This window comes from Homo sapiens, chromosome 17, assembly GCF_000001405.40.
Source record: "Homo sapiens chromosome 17, GRCh38.p14 Primary Assembly".
Classification (NCBI taxonomy): Eukaryota; Metazoa; Chordata; class Mammalia; order Primates; family Hominidae; genus Homo; species Homo sapiens.
The window spans coordinates 33,890,739-33,916,649 of record NC_000017.11 but is presented as its reverse complement, the minus strand read 5'-3'; the positions used below and the strand labels follow the sequence as shown (position 1 = coordinate 33,916,649).

At 43.7% G+C, this 25,911-nt stretch overlaps 1 protein-coding gene across 1 annotated transcript in view, besides 1 other annotated feature; it reads left to right on the top strand.

Annotated features, from left to right (window-relative positions):
• Nucleotides 1-25,911, top strand: part of ASIC2 (acid sensing ion channel subunit 2) — a 1,143,682-nt gene that overhangs the window by 240,119 nt on the left and 877,652 nt on the right. The gene's annotated exons all lie outside the window — the stretch shown is intronic.
• Nucleotides 19,982-20,483: an enhancer, noted in NCBI's record as "OCT4 hESC enhancer chr17:32223186-32223687 (GRCh37/hg19 assembly coordinates)". NCBI's record gives its function as "activates a minimal SCP1, AML or CMV promoter by ChIP-STARR-seq in naive H9 embryonic stem cells {active_cell/tissue: H9 hESC(naive)}" and the evidence as "EXISTENCE:reporter gene assay evidence [ECO:0000049][PMID:30033119]".

The window sequence follows — 25,911 nt, the reverse complement described above, 5'->3', positions numbered from 1 at the left end:
AGAAAGGAGACTAAGAAGAGAGTCTTGATTTTGGTATTTCAGAGGTCACTGATGATTGTATTAGATTTCTGCATCAGCTAGAATTCTTTCTTCTGGAAATAACATAAATCCCAGTGAGCTGGCTTCAGCTAAAAGACTGAGTTAAATTGAAAAGACTAGCAAATAGGGATGTCATCAGGTGTGGCATGATTCAGGGATTCAGATGATGTCACCAGGATCCTACTTTGGTTCTCTCCAGTTCTCAGCTCCACCTCTCTGGGTGGGCTTCATGCCCAGCCCAGCTCTCTCTCCTTGTGGTATTAAGTACCTACCGGTACTTAGTAGCCCAAGGCCTTTCTTCTCTCAGGTTTAAATCCAACAGCAAAGAGAAATGGTCTTTGTCTCAGCAGCCTCAGAAAAAGTCTCATGTGCCCATCCCTGCACAGATCACTAACTGGCTCAGGTCAAGATCATATTATCCACCCTGGAGTTGCATGCCTAGCCAAACCAAATCTCATATGTTGGGAGTGAAAAAGGAACTGGTTATCTGGGAGGAGAATTGGAATATGGAAAAGGGAAAGGAAGTAGCATAAGCAAAGTCAAGGAGGTAGGAAAGTAGGCATAGTCTGCATTCTCCCTTCTTCTCCCTGGAAGAAGGAAGAAACACCCTGTGGTATCCTCTTTTGAGTCTCCCTCCTCTGGGGATTTCAGCTTTGCTTTCCTCACAGTGTGCTGGACATCATGCTCTTGAGTGTCCCCACGGGGCCTCAGGCCTGGTGTGCCTTCAATCTCACCTATGCCATCTTCCCCACAACCCTCAATCCCAAACTTGATTCTCCTCTTGACTTTCACTCAGCTAGTCAATAGTGAAACCTAGAAGTCAATGAAACCCCTTTGCATCCTTTACCCTCAAGTCAGTTTTCCAGTTTCTTCGCTGTAGAAAAAGGGAAAATGCATGCTATGAGGAGTGGCAGAAACATTAGATGTTTATTGCAGCGGCCTCTGCAGAAAGCACTTCGGGAGACTGGTGAGAGGGAAACTAGTGTTGAAACAGTTAAGTATCGAGTGTGTGATTAAGAGCCAATAGATGCTCATTTGAGAAAATTGAGAAGCAGAAAAACGGGCTGTAGCTTGAGGAGAAATGGGCAAAAGTCATCTTAAATGGGATAAATCTGAACATGTCTGAAAGCTGAGAAGAGGACCCCAAGGCAAGTAGGAAGACATTGAAGGTGAGAGAGATGCCAGGGCAGTAATTGAAGGAGTACTCACTTTCCAAGAGAACCAAGAAAGGCTGGGGTAGAGAGCAGGAACAGCCCTGGAGGGAGGTGGGGCCCATTCATGCTTCTGAGATGGGGGAAGGACAAATACAAAAGAACTGAGAAGCCCCTGGCAAATGATGGGCTTTCTTAAAGCCAGGCACACCTGTAAAGGTGTATTGTCTTCTTGCTCCCAGGTCTCAGATTTGCACAGCTATTGAGCCTCACTTCTTGGATTATTGGTCTTGTCACCAATAATCCAAGTTCCTCCTAACCCTTCAAGGAAATGGAGCCATTTAATTTCATTGCTGATGCCCTTGACATCTATCTGGCAGGCCGAGGTGAGGGCAGAGCACTGTCCAGTCATATGTTGCCTGCGTACGCCAGCTGTGTTTGGTGCTAACCCTTCAGGTTGAGTTAAGACAGCCACAGCAGACCATATGAAGAGTTCTAAACATGATGGATCATGCCTTCCGAAAGTATCTATTCTTAAGATATAGAAAAGAACAACACAGGCCTATGGGCATTCTTGTCACCTGATCGATCAACTGTGACTACTTCGTAAGCATTTATCTACTCATGGCCCTGAGCCAGACAGCTCAGAAAACCATGGCTCCCTTTCCCAGCTTACTTAAAATCTCAGCAATGGAAGGCATCTTGAGGTCATTGAAAAATAAAAGTGTTTTAGAGTCAGACTGGCCTGGGTTTGAATGCCAACTCTGCTATATACAGTCTGTGTAACCTTGAGCAGGTCCCTACAACACTGCGTGTCCTCAACTTCTTTATGTGCCACCCCACATCCAGGTGGCCCCATATGGCCTTCATTCTTGGTCGCTTGTTTGGCTTCCCCATCAGAAGACACCACCTACCCCTTAGCCTGTTCCTGCAGTTGTAAAACTCTGGCCACCATCTCTGTCTCCTGATTCCCAAACTCTGCAGATTCATCGAGGCTCCCCTGAGACTGAACTGGGTTTTGTCAGGGCCTCTATTGCACACGAATTGAAGGGAACCACAGACCATCAGCATCCAGGTCCACCCCAACTGACTCACAGAGGCTCTGGCTTCCCCACTGGCTGCCCTGAGAGGCTGGATAACATAAATGAGAACTGCAGAGTCACCACCCTACAGGGCCAACTTTCGTAATGAAAGACAGGAGCCTGGAAGAAACCAGCCAGTAAATTCTCACCTGCCCAGCCCACAATGGACCGTTTGCAATGTAGATGTCCTATATGGCCTCTCCAGCATCATCTTGTGAGATGGAGCAACCAGTTGTGTTTTCTTGCAATGTTGTGGCCAGCTCAGTTGTGCATCACCTTGAAACTGCTTCTCTTCCTACTCTACTCTACGCCCCCTTTCCCTTATTTATGATTCCCTGGGATTATGGTCTCGCCCTGCGATAAAGTTTAGTAAGTAAGCTTGGCTCTGAGCTCTATTTTCTGGACAACCCAGACATAGTCTCCGAGTTTTAGTTTCCTGATTTATAAAATAGAATTAATGGCATCTATCTCACAGCACTGTTGGGAAAATTAAAATGAGATTGTGTGTATTAAACACTTAGTCGAGTGGCACATTGTAGGTGCTCAATAAATACGAAAAGTATCGTCAACAATTACAACATGACAGTGATGGTTACCATTTATTGGGTATCTGACATACACTTATCATTTTATTTATATTATTGGCAGCAAGAATATCTTATATATGCAGAATAAGACTAAGTGTACTCTTTATGATAAATATGAAGAGGAATCTCCAGGTACCTTATTTGTGAATTATATCGAATAATTAAGGAAGAAGGAGCTGATGTTTCAGATTCATTTTAGAGATATAATTCAGTAGATCAAGCTAATGGTAGTGAAGTCCTGGAATTCAGTTTATCATAGAAAATGATTCAGAAGAATTGGCATGGGCTAAAGGGGAGGTCTTTGCAACTTTTGATGCCATAATAAACAGAATAACAGGAGATAAGAATCAAGAAAAGTCCCTTGGTGAAGAATTTAACTAAAAAATAAATTGTATTTTATTAGTCGTAACTTAGGGATTGCCATGGGATAGACACAACAATTTCACTATTAGGCCATTTTGCTTAAAAAAAAAATGTTTACAGTTGCATTTTACCTAAGCAGAACAAATTCTGAGAAAATAATAATAGCTAACATTTATTGAAAATGTATTACACATCAAGTGCTGTGCTAAGCTCTTTACACACTTTATGTCATTTCATTCCTCTAAACCCTTAAGGTACCAAATAGTCCCGGCTCCTTGTAAGCCCAAATAAAGAAGCTCAGAGATCTGTGAGAACTGGCAGAAATTGGCGGGGGGGAGGGGGATTTATTACAAAAATGATAAGCTGGAAGTGCTGCTCAAAAAGGTAGAGCAATTAGAATTTAATTTTTATTTATTTATTTATTTAATTTATTATTATTATCATTTTTTGAGACAGAGTTTCGCTCTTGTTGCCCAGGCTGGAGTGCAATGGCAAATCTTGGCTCACTGCAACCTCTGCCTCCTGGGTTCAAGCGATTCTCCTGCCTCAGCCTCCAGTGTAGCTGGGATTATAGGCATGCACCACCACGCCCCGCTAATTTTGCATTTTTAGTAGAGACGGGGTTTCTCCATGTTGGTCAGGCTGGTCTCGAACTCCCAACCTCAGGTGATCCGCCCACCTCCGCCTCCCAAAGTGCTGGGATTACAGGCGTGAGACACCTCACCCGGCCCTAGTCTATAATTTTTAAAATGCTATTGACAGTCTCTAGTTTTTCTGGGCAGAAATACTTGACAATTCCCTTAAGTCAGAGGTTTCACACAGGACTCCCCAGGGATGCTGGGGAAGAACTGCTGTCAAGGGGAAAAGATGGTAGGGGGTGCTCAGAATTGCCTATAAAGATTTACTATTTTTATTTTTTTATTTTTGTTTGTTTGTTTGTTTGTTTTGAGATGGAGGGTCCTCTGTCACCCAGGCTGGAGTGCAGTGGCGCCATCTCAGCTCACTGCAATCTCTGCCTCCTGGGTTCAAGCAGTTCTCCTGCCTGTAGCTGGGACTACAGGTGTGCGCCACCATGCCCAGCTAACTTTTGTATTTTTTAACAGAGACGGGTTTTTGGATGTTGGCCAGGCTGGTCTCGAACTCCTGACCTCAGGTGATCCACATGCCTCAGCCTACAATGCGCCGGGATTACAGGCGTGAGCCACCACATCCTGCCAGAATCACCTATAAAGTTTATTAGTTTATTAGGACATAGTGATTCACAGCTTTTTTTTTTTTTTTTTTTTTTTTGACGGAGTCTCACTCTGTTACCCAGGCTGGAGTGCAATGGCGTGATTTCAGCTCACTGCAACCTCTGCCTCCTGGGTTCAAGCAGTTCTCCTGCTTCAGCCTCCCAAGTAGCTGAGATTACAGGCATACACCACCACGCCCCACTAATTTTGTATTTTTAGTAGACACGGGGTTTCTTCACATTGGTCAGGCTGGTCTCGAACTCCCGACCTCAGGTGATCTGCCCACCTCGGCCTCCCAAACTGCTGGGATTACAGGTGTGAGCTACCACACCCGGCCTGTGAACCACCGTGCCCAGCCGATCCACTGCTTTTAAAATGCGAAATGATTGACATGGCGTAGTATTCAATCCATAAGTATGAATGTTAGCTAGCTTGAGAATACATTAAGCTCTGGTCCAGGTAATGATTTCATTGCACACACCAAGGGCAAACAGAAATTTGCAAACTCCTGGGTCTGCTGTGGTCTATCCCAATATATGTTCCAAGTTCTTTTAAGGTCTATGGGTGTTAGCTGGGTACACAGTCTCCTATATGAAGATCACATTCCTCAGCCTCTTTTTGTAGACAGGTATGGTCGTATACCTAGGTCTGGCCAATGAAGTATAAGCAGAGGGCTCCAAAAGCTGTTTCTTCCCCTGCCTACTTCAGTCTGATTCTTGGAACACTGGGGTAACAGTCAGAGTTCATTCTGGACGATGAGAATACCTCAGCATGGGGCAGCAGAAAGCTGGAAGCTGCCTGGTCCCCAAAGACTTGATGGGACTGAGCTACCATGGCCCAGGACTGCCCATCCTGAGCTTGGACATGATGGAGCCAGGTGTCCATCCTGTTTCAACTCCCATGAGTGTGGGGTTTTCTACTTCTTTCAACCAACTGAATTCTAACTGATACGCTCATTTGTAGATTACACAGAGGTCCCTAGTCAAACTGTTATCTTCTTTCTCTGTGGATGATAAAGAAAAAACATCATTCTTTCAGTCTCCCTCAAAGGGATCTTCAAAGGGCTTTTTGCAGTGTGAAGACTCAGCCCCATGTGGGAATAACCTTATTCCCAATAGGCGCTCGCTCTGGGCCCAGCCTAAATGGGGGCCTCTGTGGTTTTACTGGAGCTGTAACCGAGGAAGCCAAGACATTTCTGACACTTGCCCTTCGCTAGGCTGGGCTTCCTCTGTTTTCTCAACTCCCTTTGGCTTTTCCTGGGGACATGTTTCTGCACACGGTTGAAATAGCCTCCACTCCCTCTCCACTGGACAAGCTCCCCCATCCTTCTAGATCTACTTCAAACATCACCTCCTCAGAACTGCCTTCCCCAACACCCTGAGGTAACCCCATGTGTTTCCTTCATGTTATTTTAGCATTTCAGAGGACACTGTAACTTCCTACTTCCCTCCAGAGAGGCAGTCCATGATAGGTGGTCATTCCAGTAGTGTTTATTGAGTGCCTGCTCTGTGTCAGGCCATGTGCTAGTCACTAGACAGGCAGTGATGAATGCACCAGATCTGCCCCCTGCCCTCATGAAGTTTATAGTCTGGGGGAAAAGATGACCCATAAAAATGCAATTAAAATTGTGACAAATTCTATGAAGGAAAACAGAATGGGATGAGGAAGAAGAGCCAACCTGGGGATGAGATGTTTCCATCATCTCGATGGAAGAATAATGCAAATCCTCTCTGAGGAAGTAGTATCCATGCTAAAAATCAGCAATTGAGACATCAGATGGTGGTATCAGGCAGGCTTGGGTTTGCTCCCTGGCTATGCTGCTGCTTAGCTGTGTGACATTAGGCCAGTTGTTTAACCTCTCTGAGCCTGAGATAAGTAATAGCATCTCTCTCATTAAGCTCCAGACACACTGTCTGCCACACAGTGAGTGCTCAATAAATTTGATATATTGTTATTTTCTAATGTCTGTCATCCAACCGGAATATGGATGCTCTGAGGACAGATATCCCCTTATTCATCTTTGCATCTTAGGCACAGAATATGTAGCGATATCCCCAAAAGCTGTTTGAATATTAATAGCCAACATTTCCTGGGCTCTTGCTACATGCCAAGCACCACTCTTAGCACTGCACGGGTATTCACTCATTTAACACTCATAACAATTCAACGAGGGTGGTGCTATTATTACTCCTATTTTAGTGGTGAAGAGACTGAGGTCTGCAGAAATTGAATAACTTGCTCAGGGTCACACCATTAGCAAACAGAGGAACTGGTGTTCAATCCCAAGCAGCCAGGCCCCAGAGCCACTACCTCACATTTTCTCTTCAGGGGATGAGAGAAACATATCCATCATTTCAAAGAAACGCAGCCTCTTTTGGTTCATGTCCTTATTAGGGTATAGGCTCTCAAAAGATGTAATTGAGGAAATATCTTCTCACCCCCAAATTATATAATGATCATTTCAACATTCTCTTATTTGCTGTGGATAAATGAAGAAGCAAAATAAATAGAATTAAATTCTTCACCTCTGAGTTGTGGTTAATGGGGCTCTCCCAGGAGCTTCGGACTCCAGGGCACATGTACCTAGGCAGAACAAGGCATCTCCCACCACGTGCATCCCCCTCAAGCCCTCTCCTGTCTCCCCTCTCTTGCCTCCCCCCAGCCTATGGGCTCCATAGCCCATGCTCCGTGGTTCCACTCTGCCTCTGGAGAGTTCTGCTATCTTCTTCCCGCTTTCTCTCTTATTAAAACACCTTCACCCGAAGGCATCCCTGAGATGAGAAGTGTGCCTGCCAACTCACCCCAGGAAGCCAAAATGCTTAAATTGCTTCTTTTATTTTCAAAAAAGTATATGTTGTTTGGAATGGAGAATGGCCTCACCTTGTCCTTGTAGGCCTGCTGTTCTGGGCTATTTTGTTAGAAACAACGGGAGAGGATAATGCCTTACATCCCCACAGCTCCTCTTGTTACAGGAATTGTAATAAACTGCCAAGAGCGCAGGCACCACTGCTGTTCTCTTGATTAAGGTTTTCTGAGGTATGGAGATGCCTCTGCCTTCAACTGCCCCTCCCAATTATCATGGAAGATAGTTGATGATACAAGACCACAGGCAGCCCCAAATGGCAGTGTCAAAATGGTGACATAATCTTCAGGGCCACCATTCAACAGCTGATGGCTGTGCTCTTTTCTTGGCTGAAGGCTGATCCTGAGCCAAGGAAATGACTAAGAAAACAGTCAGGGGACATCAGGTAAGCAGTAGGGAGAAGAAAGGAAGGAATAGGGGATTAAGGCTAGAATGACCTGGACCAGTTCACCAGGGATTAATAAGTATTAATTGAAGACCTACTAGAGGTTTAGCTCTGGGTTAGGTTTTAAGCATAGGGCAGTATATTAGAATCCAAAGGTCTGCTTTCAATTTCTAGTTCCAATCTTTGACTAAAAGATAGTGGAACTCACCAAGGATCAGTTATTTAATCTGTGAAATGGAAAGGTAATGTTTCTCACAGTGTGTCATAACCAGGTGTATGTGGTGGGTGGTAATAGTAACTCAGGTAAGCTGACTTCATTAAGCCAGAAACTGTTGGAAAGATGTAGTGATATGTGTTTCAAGGGCAGGAAGTACTGCCAGCTCTCACAAGGGCTGGAATCAGGAACTGAGACGCTGTTATCAATGGAGTTAGTTATGCTTTCTTGATCTCCCCATCTTTTTATCTTTCTCACCATCTGTCTCTCCTTCTCCGTTTCCCTCTGCTTTTCTCCATGTTTGCTGATTCATCATCTCCCTCCCCTGTCTGCTTCTCTATGTACACAGCAGAAAATAGATAGTCCAATATGGTGTCCTTGACCCCTGGCTCAATATTGTCATCCAACAGACATTGGAATTTTTTAGTCCAAATTACAAATACTGAAGAAAAAGAAACTGGTTGTTCCAGCTTTGGTCAGCATCAGAGTAGGGGGCCACAACTAATGGACCATACCATGTGGCCTACTGCCCACTCAACGTGACCATGGGGTCCGTGTCTCTAAGAATACAGCGGGCACAGAATTTCTCAAAGGGGGTTCCAGGGCAGAGAATGATGGAAAGCTGCTGTGCACACTGGGACACTGTAAGGAGGAAATAAGATAATGGGAAATTTCTCCGTACAGTCTGTGAGAACCAAGTGCTCAGTGAATGCTAGTGTTATGTACTGTGAAAGAAGCTTGAAATTCAGTGTGAGGGAAAAAAACTGCCCTGCACTGAGTAGGTGCTATTTTTATGTTTGCAAGAACTGTCTCCAACTTAATGTGCTGTCCCACTGTGGCCCATTATCAATATTCATAAATGCTTGTTGAATTGAGCAGAATGAGAAGGATGACATTAAATAAGAGCCTACAATTAAAGACAGTACAGAATTAAACTCTCAATTTTAGAGCATATTGTGAAAGCGCTACAAGCATTCAGGGTTACAATGAAGTGGTCAGTCAACGGCAGGAGTTGGCAGAGGATTTAAGGAAAAGACAGATCTCCACGTTGCCTTCAAGATGTACAACTTGGGGAGGCATCCGGAAGAAAGAAAAGAATTCCAGAAAAACAAACAATAGGAATTACAACTAAGAGCAGAGCTGAGATGAGCCTGGTGGGCTCATGGTAGAGAGGAGGGACAAGTGAGACCAAAGGGAGAATGAGTAATGGGTCACATGGGAAGCAAAACTAGATGACAAAGAGAGATCATTTTCAGAGACCATTGAGAAGCAAGCAGAGATAGTCAAATGGGAGGTGCATGGAAATGGAGCACCATTGATGGCAATTGCAAGGTGAGACTGCCAGCATTTGCCTTCTCCAATGCTTCTTAGCTGCAGGGTCCAATCTTTCAGGATGTCTGTGTTGAAGAAAACCAGAGCTTAAGACATCCCACTCCCATCAGGGGAAGGATGCTGGAGTTGTCTTATCGCCTGACCCCCAGGATCCCAGTGCATACTGAGCAGTAGTCCTCACCTCACCTGTCTTTATGGGACAAGGGCATAAAACAGGACCTCCGCTTCAAGGGTTCTTGGTTTCTCTTCCATTCCCACTGCCCTGATGCCTGGCCTATTGGGTTGAGATCCTGACTCCCTGCTTCTACTTAGCCAGCCCCCTCTCCCAAGGATTTACCTGAGCTCTCTATACCCAACCCTTGTTAAGAGCTGATTACATCCTAGATAGAACCTAAAACCCAAAAGAGCATCTTTCAGCTGATTGAAAGGAGACCCTGCCCAAGAAATCAAACAGCCATGAGCATCAGTAAAGCCAGTGATGTCCCAGCTTAGGCATGTCCCATGGACCAGAGTAATTAGAATTCAAGACTTGTAGCCAGAGAAGTCAGTCTATCCATGACTTTGCTCAGTGCCAACAGCTCAGCCTCCTCGTTAAGATCCCAGTAGGTCTTGATGCCAAAGCCACAGAACTGATGTCAGATCCTTTTTCACCAAAATGATGCAAAGACCTAGAGAAATGTAGAGAGTCCTATAAGATACTTGCATTCCAACAGCCTTATAGGAGAGGGTGAATGAAACCAGTAGTCTCAAGAGAGATTGGTGATGTATCGTTTTGTTAACAGCATGAATATACTCGCAGGTGTTTGTACAATAAGCAGTGAAGGGAGGGCTCTTGTGATTCCACCTTGAACCTCTTAATGTACCACCTGGTTTCTCATAAGTGAAGGACACATGTTGAGCCTCAGAACTGGTGCATTTCCATCATGCATCTTCTCTCAGCTGCCCAAAATGTTAGGAGTGGAATACTTACTCAGCATTGAAGATAGGCCCAAGGTTTGCTGGGGGAACTTTTTAGGAGATTTTCTACATAACCCAAGATTTTCCACCCAGCTGAGGATGTCAAGATGACTTTGACCTACTCCTAGGGGAAGGACATTCTGTAATTAAGGCTGTTAGCCTTCTGGTTGGCATACAAGCCTGCTTGCAAGAAGGGTGTCATTCTGACAACATACTGAGACCCGGAGAAGACCATAGGTCTCCTGGTTACAAAAGCCAACCAGACACGTAATAAGGGAGCAGATGCCTGTCAAGCAACAGCCTCTTTTAAGAACATCAAGGCCAGGTGCGATGGCTCACGCTTGTAATCCCAGCACTTTTGGAGGCCCAGGAGTTCAAAACCAGCCTGGACAATGTAATGAGAACTTGTCTCTACAAAAAAAAAAAAAAAAAATTTAATTAAAATTAAAATATTAGCTGGGCAGCCAGGCATAGTGGCTTGTGCCTATAGTCCCAACTACTCAGAAGGCTGAGGTAGGAGGATCACTTGAGCCCAGGAAGCAGAGGTTGCAGTGAGGCGAGATTATGCCACCGCACTCCAGCCTGGGCAACAGAGCAAGAACCAAGAACCTGATGCAAAAAAACAAACAAAAAAAGAACTTCAGCCTGCCTGCGACCACCCTCACAGACCTGTCCCTGGTCATTCTCTCATTTGTCTGATGTCAGACTATCACATTTCCCTGCCCCAGCAGGGTGAGGAACGGCTTCAGGACATACCAGTGACAACTACCTCTCTCCTGTTTACAACTGCAGATAATAGGTGGTTGACTGAATTCTCTATCTACAGGTTCAAACCCCATATTAGCATTTTACTCTCCCTAGCATCCCTACTTTGCATATTATCTGTCCTCGCACATCACTCTTTTAGAGCACAGGCACTGAGCACTCCTTATCTATGTCAGCACATGCCTCTGAAGCCAGCAGCAGAGGACAAGCTATGATGCAAGGGAAGACATTACATGGCTTGATGGGTAGCTCTATCCTCTGATGAATGAGAATTTTCCAGTTGTCTGAAATCATAATTTCCAGTGAGATGTGGGATCAGTCATGTCTGTCCTGGGTCTGAACTAGAGCCGGTCTGTGTGTCTCAATGCTCTGGTCAGTAGTGCAGTCAGAAAAGCAGGAGCTTTAGAGCCATGCTGGTATGAATTCTAATTCCAGTTCTGCCACTTAATAGTCAGGAAAATAATTACTTTCCAGGAGGCTTGGTTTACTTTCCTAAGGCAAGAACGCTAAGTGGAAAAAAAAAAAAAAAAAAAAAAAAGCCTTAAACTAGGTAGCTCAAGCAAATTGTCTACTGCAGGAACTACTTAATACATTTAGGTATTTTTATTCCATAAGAAACATTTGTGACCAATGATGGAATACCAAGCCTGTGCACATTTGAGGCGATTCCCCTCTCTGAGATTTTCTACATAACCCAAGATTCTCCACCCAACTGAGGATGTCAAGATGACTTTGACCAACTCCTAGGGAAAGGACATTCTGTAATTAAGGCTGTTAGCCTTCTGGTTGGCATACAAGCCTGCTCGCAAGAAGAGTGTGGTTCTGACAACATACTGAGACCCGGAGAAGATAGAATGGTACAACTCCTAAATCAACTTTAAGGAAGAAGTTACAGAAGTAACTGAGCCTAAAAGGGTGGTGTAGCTTTTGCATCTGATAACATCTATGAGGGGTCCTTCTAAAAGGCCATGGATGCTCTTCAGGTGGTTCTAACTTATCATAGTGAACCAGGTTCCAAAGGCAGCACTTATCTGTGGAAAGGCTCAAAGTGGTGGTTCTTATCATGTCTCCTGAGACTCCTAAATCCTCATTATCCATGGCATTCGTCTGGGTTAGACCAGTGGTTCTCGACCTTAGTTGCATGACAGGGAGTTTTTAAAAGTACAAACTCTATAGCTCTGCCTCAGAACATTTGAATTGCAATCCCTGGGGACAGATCTCAGATACCTATATTTTTAAAGTTCCCCAGGTAATTCTAAGTTATAGGCAGTATGGAGAACCACAGCTTAACACCGGTGCTACTCAAATGTTAATGTGTACACAAACCATGTAGGGATCTTGTTACATTGTAGCTCCTGATTCCATGGGTCTGGGATGAGGCCTCAGACTCTGCATTCCTAATAAGCTCCCAAAAGATGCTGATGCTGCTTGCCTGGGATCACACTTGAGTAGCAAGGCTCTCCATCTTTTCTCATCATCATAGCTATAATTCTTTTTTTTTTTTTTTTTTTTTTTTGAGACGGAGTTTCACTCTTGTTGCCCAGGCTGGAGTACAATGGCGCGATCTCGGTTCACTGCAACCTCCGCCTCCAGGGTTCAAGCAATTCTCCTGCCTCAGCCTCCCGAGTAGCTGGAATTACAGCCATGCACCACCACACCCAGCTAATTTTGTATTTTTAGTAGAGACGGGGTTTCTCCATGTTGGTCAGGCTGGTCTCAAACTCCCAACCTCAGGTGATCCACAAGCCTTGGCCTCCCAAAGTGCTCGGATTACAGGCATGAGCCACCGTGCCTGGCCCAGCTATAATTCTTTAAGCCCCATCTGCTGATTTAGTCCTATACTCCTTTTCAGAAATAACCTTGGGCAAGAGGAAGCTACTCAGCCTGACTCTGTATTAAGCCCCTTGGCTATGAGTCTCACCCATCAGCAGCAGTTGTTATAGAAATTGGAATCTCATCTCATGTCCAAACCCCTGGTTGTTTAATTCAACTTTCTATTTTCAAATGTCATCATCTACTCAAACTTGCACCCACAGAACACTGTTGCACAGAATTTTAATAGCTAGGAAGCAAACAAAAAACCCTCCATGTTTAAATAAACTGGGAGATTCTGGGCTAAATAAATTTGAAATTTGAATACATTTCTTTAGGATTTGTCAGAGCCTTTAATATGCAAATATGTATTCTGAACTCTAAAGAAAGCATGCAGTGTTTTCCAAACTTACTTGACTACAAAATACTTTATTTGTGGGACACCTAATAACATTTCATAGGCCTGGTGAGCTATAAAACACATTTTGGAAAATGTTACTTTGGATTTATTTCTACAGGCTTGAGATAAGCAGAGGGACAGATTAGTATGGAGATTGCTGGCTGGAATTTTCTATCAGCATTCAAGAAAGGAGAACCCTCCATGGAACATCATAAATTGTTCATGTGTCTGCACCATGAGAGAGAAAGACAGGGCCTGAGAAAAAGAAGGTCAAAGGTGCTAATTTGCCATGGTTTTGAGAAATAAGGGAGATGATTTTTATGGCTGCTGGAAAGGAATAAATTGTCACTGCAGTGTTTATGGTGCTGAGGAGAAAGGTTGAAACTAAAATATTCTTGCAAAGTCAAAGGTCTCGGGAGACAGGCCAATGGAATGGATACTGCTTTGTTGAGGATTTCCTCTCTTCACATTTATTATTTTTGAAATAGAAAAGATTCCTGGACTAAGGGGGAATGCAAGCAGGGACAAACATTCCATGCAGAAAGTGACAGAATGCTTGCTGTGATGTTTGTTTCTTCAGATGGGTTTGACATTGATTTCCTAGAAATTGATGGTTTTGGGGAAATGGCAGGACCTTAACAGTTCTGGCTGAATTTCTAATCTTACTCTTCTTGAAGAATTGGGTCTTCGAGAATTAGGGGTTCCACCCTAAAAAATCATGGGTTCCTAGTGGACTCTGGATCAGTGGTTGGAAATCTGATACCCATAGATAGAAAACCCAGATGTTGACTGTCTTGCATTGACTGTTGGAGTCCCCGTTAACTCCCTAGACTGAGGCTGGGCAATCCTGGAACCTGCCCCAGCCCGGCCGGCATGGAATGCTCATGTCTGGGCCCAGCCATACCGGCTGGCTGCAGAGCCACAAGGACAAAGATGTGTCATCGCTGTCCACCACAGTGCTGAAGTGGACATACTTCTTGGGAATTTTGATATCTACTTTAAAACAGAGGTGACCTCAAAATTAAGAGCCTCTTGCATTAGCTAAATGGGAAGATGTGTACTTTTAAATGTACTCTATTTTAGTGTAAACTGGGATTTTGTGCTGTTATGCTGAATTTATTTTCCTTCTAGGTGCTCTGTTGGTTAAGGCTTAGTTGCACTTAATAGAAACAACTCTGGGTAGTTCAAGGGAAAGGGATTTATTACTAGGTTTTAGGTAGCTTACAAAATAATTGGTAGGGCTGAAGGAATAAGATAAGCTTTCAGTAACAATTCTCAATCCTGAGTCACATCTCCTGCTGCAGGAGATCCTCCTTACCTCTCCCAGGATCTCACCTCTCCTGCCTTTTCCCCTGAGAACTCAGATTCTAATTTAGGTCTCATACAAGCGCATTGATAGAGAGAACCTTGCTCACAGCCAGATGTCTAGGTACAAGAGAGTCTGGGACATGTCATTTCTAGCTTTTCTAGTGTCTGCTGTGTTAGAAGACGTAATAAAAAGGAAATCTGAATGGTTGCCAAGTGAGAAAATCTACCATACCTGTCAATGGAGTGATCGAGCATAGTCGCAATATCATTGTCATTAAATGATTGATGAAACATAGAACCATAAGGCAAACATTATACTACTGATTGGAATTGCAGTGGCACTGATCAGAACAAAGCTTCCAAGACAATTTTGGAAAGTCCTGGAAACCAGATCAATATCACTACACCTCTATTTACCAAGATCACAAGATTTTCTATGCCATCAGAATTCTACACCTTTAGAATTCTGGAACTTAAGGAGATTCTGGGGATGAACTTGTTCAGACCCCTCATTTCATAAAGCTTATCATATGGTTTGCTAACTCTTCATTTTAAAACCTGCTTTCCCAGCTGAAATGTGGCTTTGCAGGAACTGTGTCTTATCGATCTTTTTACCCCCTAGTACTGAGCTGGCTTCCAGGCATATGGTAGGTGCTCCAGAATGAAAAAGAGGAATAAGGGAGGAATAAGGGAGGAATGGAAGAAGAAAATCAGTCCCATATGGGAGAATTCACCTAACCTGAGCCCCGCTCACCTTAGACTTTGGGGAAGAACCAGGTGACAGTCTAGATGCTCTATCTCTGTAGGACCCAGGATAAACTGGAAAAACTGGCCACTGATGATAAGGCTGCTGAAGGGAGTATTTCTCTTCCAGAACCTGCTGTGGCCACTGCTGCTACTACAATCCCAGAAGTTAGGAGGGAGTGATAATATGCAAGAGGCATGGATGAGCCAGAGGCAGGAGTGAATGGTGAGAAAGAGACGCCCAAAGACATGCACAGGATAGAATGCAAGGAATCTGAGAGCCAAGGAGAGGAGGAAAAGGGCAGACAGGTCAGAAGCACAAAAGGGAGGACTTTGTCATAGTAGGACACCTGCAAAGGATATTACACGTGGCTAGATTTGTTCTGAGTTTGTTTGAGCCTAATGCACAAAAGAAGCACCTAAATCAAAAGAGCCATAGCCAAGGACCAGGAGCCTGGAAGCTGTGAACCTGTCTCCCCATCTCTCCAACTTGCTTTTTAATACACCCTGCTGTCTTTAGCCAAGGCTGGTTAAAGGCATATTCATCATGCATCCTGTTTGCAGGTGGAAATTTGCATCCTCCTGCATGGAAGTCCACTGTGGCTCACAGCACAGCTCATATGACAGTTGAATGGGCAGCCCCCACCCTCTTCCCTAGATACCCTCCCACCTCCAACTTCTTCAACATCTTATGGTCTGTTTACACCTCAATGAGTATGTATAAAACTGTCTATTAGTGAGTCTTTATTGCACTTTGGTAAGAAAATTGTATTAAAATAGACTAAGCATTGAGTTGTGAGGTTAAGTACTTATCACTAGGCTGATGAATAATCTAATAGAGATTAAAAAATTTTTTTTTACTTCTCATGAGTCAAAATAATACAACTAGTAATTAGATTTTTACTCCCACCCTGGCAGTAATAAATAATCCACAGTAGGGCATTTATTTTAATGAGTATGTACAGATTCTCAGTGTTGGGAGGGCATGCAGATGGGGTGTTTGCTAGATCTAGAGTCTTACAATTACGTGCTCCACTGGGGCCTGGGTGTCTCAGCAGAGACCCTATGGAATAATATCCAGAACAAGAAGGCAAAACCACTAATAACTTTCCCTCACTGGTATATCCCAGGAGACTCCATCTAGGGGATGAAGATGGTGAACTCTGCCCTTCTCTCCAGATTAAACTGGCTGGTGAACACACATCAGCTACATGCCTCTCCCATGCTTAAAGAATGCATATGATACTTATTAATATGTGACGGAATTGATGAGGAAAAGGAAGGAACTAATTTTGCTTAGTGTCTACTATGTGCGGTTACCATGTGTCACTTAGGTTAACTTTTTGAAATGTGTGATCACCATGGAGAAAGGGATAGCATTGCTCATGTTACAAGGAAGTAATTAGGGTCCCAGAAGTAAGCACAGGATACTCACTTCCCATAAGATATTGTACCATTTACTCATTCAATCACCTATCAGGGCTGCTTTGTACAATTGCAGAGGTTGTGCACTTCACAGCTCCACAGATCTCTATTCATGTAGACTATTCTGGAACTTTAAATCTTATAACCTGCACTCTTATATGAAATAAGTTAAGTGCTGGTGGTAAGGAAGAAGGAAGATACAACCTTATCTACAAAACATGAAGACATCTATCTAGCATGTTATGGAATATTGCTATGATTAAATTTTGAACACAAGTTTCAGTATTTGAAATTTAAGTAAAATGGTCCCTTTGTGTATCTCATACCGGGTCTCCAAGGCCCTCTTATAGAGAAGGGACTTAGACCTCTTTATCAGAGGTAGTCCACATAATCACACGTCCAATCTCTCTCTCCAGCCTTGTCCTGTCTACCTCCTCTGGCTTCCTCCTGTAGGCTTTGACCCTCATTCATCCGTTGCTCAGGTATAGTGCCTCTCTTCTGCTTTGCCTGTTTCAGACCCTGGCCACCCTCTGGCGGTATTGCCCCAATTGACCAATACTCATCAAAATTGTCAAGATCGTGAAAGACAAGAAATAGAGAGAAGTGGCCACAGATTGGAAGAAACTAAGTTAGCATGGTACTCACATCCTCCTGAGGCTTACTCCAGGGGTCCACCCCACGGTTCAGCTTCACTACCCCCATCTCGGTGCTGACAGCTGGCCCTGGCAGCAGCATCGCCCTGTCATGTGGCTAAGCTAGGGTGTGGAGAGGTGAAATACTTCCTTAAATGGAGCTGCCTCTGCTGAAAACTTTTTTACAACTTCTCTTGGGGAGTTCCTTTAGAGCTTTTTTTTTTTTTTCCTGAGATGGAGTCTCGCTCTGTCGCCCAGGCTGGAGTGCAGTGGCGCGATCTCAGCTCACTGCAAGCTCTCTTTAGAGCTTTAACTCAGATTTTTGTTTCTTCAAACTTGAGGATCTTTACCTCGGAGGAATTAATATGAATTTGGCAAGCGGGCAACAGCCATTGGAGGAAGGGGTAAGTTGAGTTAATCAGAGTAACATGTGACTTACTTTGGAAGTAAGTATGGAAAAATGGAAAGTTAATATTCTTGTGCACCCTGTAACCTGCCAAGCCTATGTATTTTCTTCATTTAGAATTGGGGCAAAATCAAGAGACAGTCTATAAAATAATTGACCAATACTCATCAAAATTGCCAAGATCATGAAAGACAACGAAAGAATGCAAAGTGGTCACATATTGGAAGACAATAAAAAGATATGCTGACAAAATGCCACGTGGCATCTTGGATTGGATTTTGAAGCAGGAAAAGGACACTAGTGGAAAAATAAATAAAATTCTAATGAGATCAATAGTTTAGTTAATAATGTTATACCACTGTTAATTTCCCGGTTTTGATTATTGTACTACGGGAAGCTAGGTAAGAGTATACATGAGGTCAGGGGTGGTGGCTCATGCCTGTAATCCCAGCACTTTGGGAGGCTGAGGCAGGCAGATCACAAGATCAGGAGATCAAGACCATCCTGGCTAACATGGTGAAACCCCGTCTCTACTAAAAATACAGAAAAATTAGCTGGGTGCAGTGGCATCCGCCTGTAGTCCCAGCTACCCAGGAAGTTGAGGCAGGAGAATAGCTTGAATCTGGGAGGCGGAGGTTGCAGTGAGCCAAGATCCCGCCACTGCACTCCAGCCTGGGTGACAGAGCGAGACTCAGTCTCAAAAAAAAAAAAAAAAAAAAAAAAAAAAAAAAAGATTATACATGAACTCTGGGCAGTTTTTGTAGTTTCTCTGTAAGTCTAAAATTATTCCAAATAAAAAGTAAAAATAAGAAAGAAAGAAATATGGGCAGAGCACCTCCCCTGGGGATAAAATGAGATTAAATATTGTCTTGCTTGGAATCCTGTTGCATGTCCAATTGCAACTTTTATAGTTGCAAGGGAAATATATTTTCATCTCATTCACCCAGGACATATTGCTGGCACTGACTCCTTCAGTTTGAGGATAACTAGTTCCCATTACCATAACTGTCCCAATAACCTATATTCATCATCCATCTTCGATTTCTGCCATGGCATCTCTGGTGTAAATCCACTTCCAACTTTTTATCCTCACTCTTAGACTTGTTTTCACAGTTGCAATAATCATTCACACAACAGGCCCCTTTCCCAGAGTTTCCAGCCACTGGTGGGCTCCCCTCTCCCATAGGCTCCACCTGATCCCTGCAGCTATGAAGACAACAGCTAGGAAACTAGAATTTCAGATACATCCGAGCAAAGGTAATATTGTTGGGAATAGTATGTAGCCTTCCAGGGATATTAACTATTTTGAAATGAAGCACATGGGTACATTTGCTGCAAGTGCAGTTTTACCACTGTGCCGCCATGGCTTTTGCATATTGTAAGTTGCTTCAAACTTGATTTCTAGCTAAAGTCAATATGAACCAATTACAGAAATCTGGATAAAGATATATTTCATTTCATTCTAAACCATTTGTTGTATACCACCATATAGCAGATGCTGTGCTATGTTATGGGTGCACAAAGATGATTAAGAGATGGTCTTTGTCCTTGAACAGTGCAAAGTGCAATGGGGTGGGATGCCATAATACAAAGTTTAATGTGAAATGCAGAGGGAAGGAGAGAGAGGCTTTGGGGCAAAACCATTATTTCTTTAGGAGCAACAAGAGGACATTTGATAGATGCTGTGCAGAATATCATTGAAGTTGGAAGAAGGAAGTGGTCTCTGAGTGAGTCTCATTTTGACACACAATACTTGGAATAGAAGCTCATATTTCTCCAAAATCCCTCCTTTTCAAAGTCTTCCTACTGACCACACACACATATAGCCCATTTGGTGATAATATCCCTTTATCATGGTATAACCCCTATTTCCCAATGTGCCTACCCATGGACATCTTTTGGGGAGCTTTAGTAAAACTTTATAATCTTGAAGCCCCCACCCATCTCAAGACTGTAAATCAATAGGACCAACTAGCTTCTCCTTTATCCTGTCTGGTTCATTTTTCGGCCAGGATGTCTGGCTTTTGTAGAAAGCAGAGTGATGAGCAATGGATGGGGCCAGGGCCACCATGTTGTGCAACCCTGGGGGGAACCATACACACAAAATACAATGTAAATTTTGCCTTCTAAGCTGGGGACATGGGACCCTGGGACACAGGAGACAGTGTGAATTGTAATCTATGGGGTAAACTGTTTCGCCTATCATAAATGCTACACACAGGTTCTGAGAGGATTCAGATTAGTGAGATGCCCAAAGGGCCAAGACTCTGTCATGGTGAGGTTGGAGTCACTGTTGAAGTCAAGGGGTGACTGCCAGAACTTACAAAGCTACAGACAGCCCCCGATAGGAGCCAGGCCATTGGGCTAATGCATCCTTGAGGAGCTCTGAGCCCCTGCAGGCCAAGCGAACAGACCCTGCCCATCCTCCTCCATCAGCATTTCTTTGTCCATTGCACAGCTGAGGACTGACAATGAATATTCATACCCTGGCTGTTGCGGAGTCGCTAGACTCTCTGCATATGCAAAATCAGAACTTACTTGGGCTGCCAGGAAGGGAAGATTCCCCCCAAAAAAACATCTGATGGAGCAGGTTGAACCAGTGGGAAACATAAAGCCGGCGATGAGAAAGGAATATTCTAGAAGTTATTGCATTTCTGCACTGTCTTGCAAGATGCCATCCTTGGGGAAGGAACATTCTAACCAAGAAGAAAAGACACATCCTTGGCCTGAAGTCAGGCTAAGCAGAGCTCTTGCTCATGCATTCATTTGTCCTCTACCAGGCTCTGAGGCAAAAAGAAAAGAAATATAAATAAATTATTAACATATCTTTGCCTAGAGGTAATTAAAGGTTGATTGGATAACAATATAAACAGAGTAACAATTCACATTGGAAAACATTGTTTCTACTGAGTGCCTACTGAAAAAGTGCTTTACATTTTTTTTTAATCTCATTTAATCGTCATAATTACCCTGACAGGGCAGCTGCTGTTGTCTCCATTTTACAGATGAAGGAACTGAGACTCAAATAAGTTAAGTGTATTTGCTGCAAAGTTATGCACCCCGTAAGTGGTGAATTCAGGATTTGAATTCTGGTTTTATGGGACCTAGAGTCCATGTTCTTGCCTTACAACTGTTCTGCCTCGTAAGACATGATTTAAAGAGAATCTCAATGTTTCAGGACTTGTGGGACAGATACCAAATCACAGCATGGTAGAGGATAATCAGAGAAGATTCCCTACCAGGATCAACTCAGCCTGGGAAGACATCCAGGTATCAACCACGCTTGAATTATGAAGGATTTTAAAAAGCTATTTGTCTGTTGGCTCCAAGTAAACTAGGCAACCCCTTAAGAGGCAAAATTGGCTTTATTGTTTCTTAAGAGAAGGACAGTCTAGCATGCATGGAGGTCTCAGTCCGGGCACTACAAGCCCAGAATGGCAGGCCATGCTGCTTCACTATTTATAACCAGCCAGGCAAGGTGCTAAACACATGACATGGAAGAAAATATTCAGGCCGGGTGTGGTGGCCTTGGGAGGCTGAGGTGGGCAGATCATTTGAGGTCAGGAGTTCGAGACCAACCTGACCAATATGGTGAAACCCCGTCTCTACTAAAAACACAAAAATTAGCTGGGTGTGGTGGTGCATGTCTGTAATCCCAGCTACTCAGGAGGCTGAGACACGAGGATTGCTTGAACCCAGGAGGCAGAGGTTGCAGTAAGCCAAGATTGTGCCTCTGCACCCCAGCCTGGGCAACAGAGTTAGACTCCATCTAAAAAAAAAAAAAAATAGCAAAAAAAACTTCAATGCTTGCCACTAACCCCCATTTATTCAAAAAGACTGGATCCAAAGGAGGACTGGACAGCATAGGTGACTTGTTCATAGCCACATATTTAAGTAAAGGCAGAACTTGAATGTACAACCCAGCAGCGCAACGTCAAAGTCTGAAATTTCCCAATATGGGCTCTAATTGCAGGGTGGGCAGCAGAAAGTATTCATCAGAGTAGTTCATGCATTCAGGATGCATGGGGTGCATCCTCCCTGTACTCCAGGAGTGCAGACAATGTTTATCATTTATGCCAATGGTCAAAACTAGAAGGGCCTGGGATTTCATCCTGTCTCATTCCTTTGTAGACTGCTGGGGAGACCAAGGCACAGCAAGAGTCAATGTCCTGTCTCTTTCATGCAGTAACTTAAGGCTAAGCTGAAAACACATCAATAAGGTGTCTTGAACATAGCACTTCTCTCACACGTTCACTTGCAAAACACCAATGGATTATCCACCCCACTATTTATTAATCTCATTTTGCAGGTGAGGATACTGAGGCCCATCAAAGATTGCTCAAGTGCACATAGCTAGTGTGAGTATTGAGGCTGAAATTCAAACCCAGGTCTGAATAACGGCAAAATGTGGGCTCTCAACCACTCAGGGACAACGATATGACTCTCATAGTGGTGGCATCAGGGAAGAGGTGAGGGCACCCAGGAGAGAACAACTCGCTCTGCTGATATCTGTTCTCTGCTTGGAAATATGTAATACTGGAACATCATGAGGCCCAGAGAGCACATGAACACACACACACACACACACACACACACACACACGCACGCACGCACGCACGCACGCAGAGCTTCTCTCATTCTGTCCTTCCCCTCTTCTCTTCTTCCTCCCCATAAGCCCAGCAGGCTTTCCCATCCATTATCCAAATGTACTCTGGGTTTGCACCCAGAAGCTTAATTTCACATCTGGCAGGAAGCAATTGTGCAAAGTTGCTGAATCCTCTTCTCCACCCCCTAAGGGGGTTCATCAAGCCCTATCATCCTAGAAGTGACAAAATATTTTCCATTCCCCAGCAAAAATAAAAGTAGCACAGAGTTGGGAAGTCCATAACAATAAAATATAGAGCCAATCAGCTTTAAAAACAAAATTCTTCTTTTGGAATCTGTGGGGCTTCAGATGATGCTCAAGGGGCAAGTAGCTGAAAAAGCCCATGTATCTGACTTTGACTGAGGTGAGGCTTTGGAAGAGGAAGTTCTCCAAAACCCTCAACAAATGGAGAGGGTCACCAATTAGCATGGTTTTATGAGGGTAGGATGGAAATGCTGAAGAATAGGAATATTTGTTGAGTGTCTTCTGTTGCAAAGCACATGCCATATGTAGCATCATTGAATCTGTACAACACCATGTGACTTATGATCCACTACATCTATTTTATAAATAAGGATTATGGACTAAGTTTCCAGGATCCCAAGAACACAGCCTTAAATTAAACCACAAATCCAGAATGGACCTTTGAGACCATCAAGTCCTGGGATAGTGAATACCCAGACCATGACCTCCATCCTCCTAATTTGTGTCCCCAGCTGATACTGCTAATTGATCATATTGCTCTTTCCCAGGAATCCTGGACGAAACTTCAGAAACCTTCTCAAAATAGCCTTGTAGGTGACTACCTCCTATAAATTGGAATTTGCATAAGATATTAAATCTATTTGCCATACCTGACCTACGTTAAGTCTTTATTTTTAAGATGAGAAAATCAAGACACAGAGAGGGGAAGTAACTCATCTGAGATCACACAGCAAGCCAGAGACAGGTCTAGAACTCCAGGCTCAGGGCCCAAAGTGTGTTACTCATTACAGCTCCTCATAAAGGAAGTGGTCCTGCAAGCACCATGTGGCAGCACAGTTAATTTACTTTGTTTTTGACCAAATGGATTTAAATCCTGGAAACAGCTCCCTCAGGCTCTCCCTTCCAAAATGCCCCTTCCTCTGCACCAGCTGAGCAGCCAACAGGAACTTGGTCTCCTGGGTACCCAGCCAGTTAATGTGTGCCTGGCATTAGCACAAAACTAACATTTTATTTCCCTTCCATAGTATGTAATTTCTTTGGAAGTTGAAGTGTAATGAAATTGGTGTTTATTATAATTAATAAAAGCCCCATAACTTTAAATTGGGTCATAAATCTTGCAGGGAAATCCAATACTGCCTTAAGAGTCATTCCTTTCCCAAAAGGGGCTCTTTGGAGCAAGGAGGGAGCCAGCTCCCTCCTCCCAAACGGGAGCTGGCTATGCTCCCTTGGTTCGCTGCTGCTAATCTATTCAGGTCACCAGCGGAGCACAGGCAGCTCGGGGCTCTGCAAATGGAAAAACTGTACCTTAGCCCAAAACATGTAGGTAGTACTCCAGTGTGAGCACTGCCTGCATTGTAACTTTAGCTATGGCTTATTTTGAGAAATAAAACTATGTGATTTCTGTGTGCCAGGAACTGTGTTGGAGAGAAGGAAAATGCTATTCTTATTCTCAAGGATGCCCCATGTGCCTACAGTCCAGTGAGGAAGGCATGCTGGTCAGTTGCCAGGTACAATTCAGTGTGGATTATACAGATATGGAAGGCACGAAGTGGTTGCCCTTCTATTTGAGTAATGTAGAGTGATGGGATTATTTCAAGGAGAAAGTAGATAGAGGTGAGAAGGGTTTGAAAGCTGATGAGGAGGTTGCCAGGTGGGCGTAAATATTCTTCCAACACAGCATGCTGTCTCTGCATCAGGGCCTTTGCACTTGCTATCTACTCTGTCTGGGATCCTTATTCCCCAGACCTCTAAGTGTCTGTCTCCTTCTCACTCAGATCTCAGTTCAAACTCCCTCTCCCAGAGAGGCCTTTCTTCCCGCCTTACCTAATATTTCTCCTTCCCCATCCCTTGCTATCATATTTTCTGTTTCCTTTACAGATCTCACCATTCTGTGAAATTACATTATTTATTTATTCTCTTTCTTGTTCATTGTCTATTTCTCAAATGAGTACAAACATAACTCTGTTACAACAAGAACCTTGCCGAGTTTATTCACTGTTGTAGTCCTGGCACCTAGAACAATTCCAGACACCTACTGGACAATTAATAACTATTCTAGGCAAAGATTCATAAACTGCATGGCTCATTAAAATAAACAAAGCAGATTACAAAATTGCACACAATGTCAGAAGGGAAAATGGTAGACAAAGATGCCAAGTAAAGAAAAAATAGAGCAGAAAAATGAAACCACCACCCAAATAGCTCCAGGGAGGGATGTGGGTGTAGAGAAGTGCCTAAGAAAGAAGTTGTAATTTGTTTGCTGTGGGATGTGTACTGCAAGCCCCCTACTCTCACCCCTCCCCTTTAAATGTTTAGTTGTCTTCATAGCTCACTAAAATAAATAAATAAACTTTAAAAACACGAAGCCAGCAGTAGGATTAGTGTTTGCACATCATATGCCTTAACATCTTGTTAGAGGTGGGTAGTAAATTTGGCTCTGGGCTTCCTAACAGCCAAAACAAGAGGGAAAAATGAAATGTGTTAACTCTCAAACCTCAGTGTCTATGGGATTAACCTAAAGTGACTGCTCAAAGAAAAGTTAGTTTTTTTCTGGGCCTGAAACCTGAGTGTTGATCCTGCCAAGGAGAAAATGTTATGATGTAGTATCCTCCACAGCATCCCTTCAGTATATTCAGAAGACAGGTTCATTATAGCATCTTTTCTTATAGTAGGCCGATGACCTCATGCCCAAGTATAATTTAGTAAAAGCCTTTCTACAAGCAGACAGACCATGCTATCTAAGCTTGCTTCTTTTGAATGATCTGGCCTGAAAGAGATGGAGAATCTCTCACAAAATTGGAAGGACTATGTGTTCTTCAGATAGTCTTCTGTTTCTTTCAAGTGAGTTCACACTAAGACTTGGGTGGTAAGGAACACAGGGTAGCCTCCACTTCTGGAATGCCGGGTGATATATCATGTTCCCCACTGGGACTAATTCCCTGTTCAGATGTGCACAGGGTGGAGTGGGCACCTGCCTTTGAAAATTGAGATCCTGGAGGAATCTGAAGAGAGAACCAGCCACCCACTCCTCTACATCAGGCACCAAAGCCGGAAACTTATAATCAGCATTCTTCAAAGAAGGGCTCAAGGATTCCTGTCTCAGACCACCCGAGGCACTTGCTATACCTGAAGATGCCTGGCTCTGGACTCACACAGTCTGCTTGGGGTGGATCAGAGTGTCTGCTGCTTACCAAGCTCTCCAGGTGATTCTCCAGCCTGCAGAGTGCTGATCTGAAGGACAGTATTTGCAGTATTTTTGTTTTTCATAATGGCCCCTAACACTCAGGGCTTTAAAATTCAAAAAGCACTCTCCCTGTCCCTGAGCCTCACAAAGCCCCTGCAGAGAGTGAAAGCAGCTTCTCCCA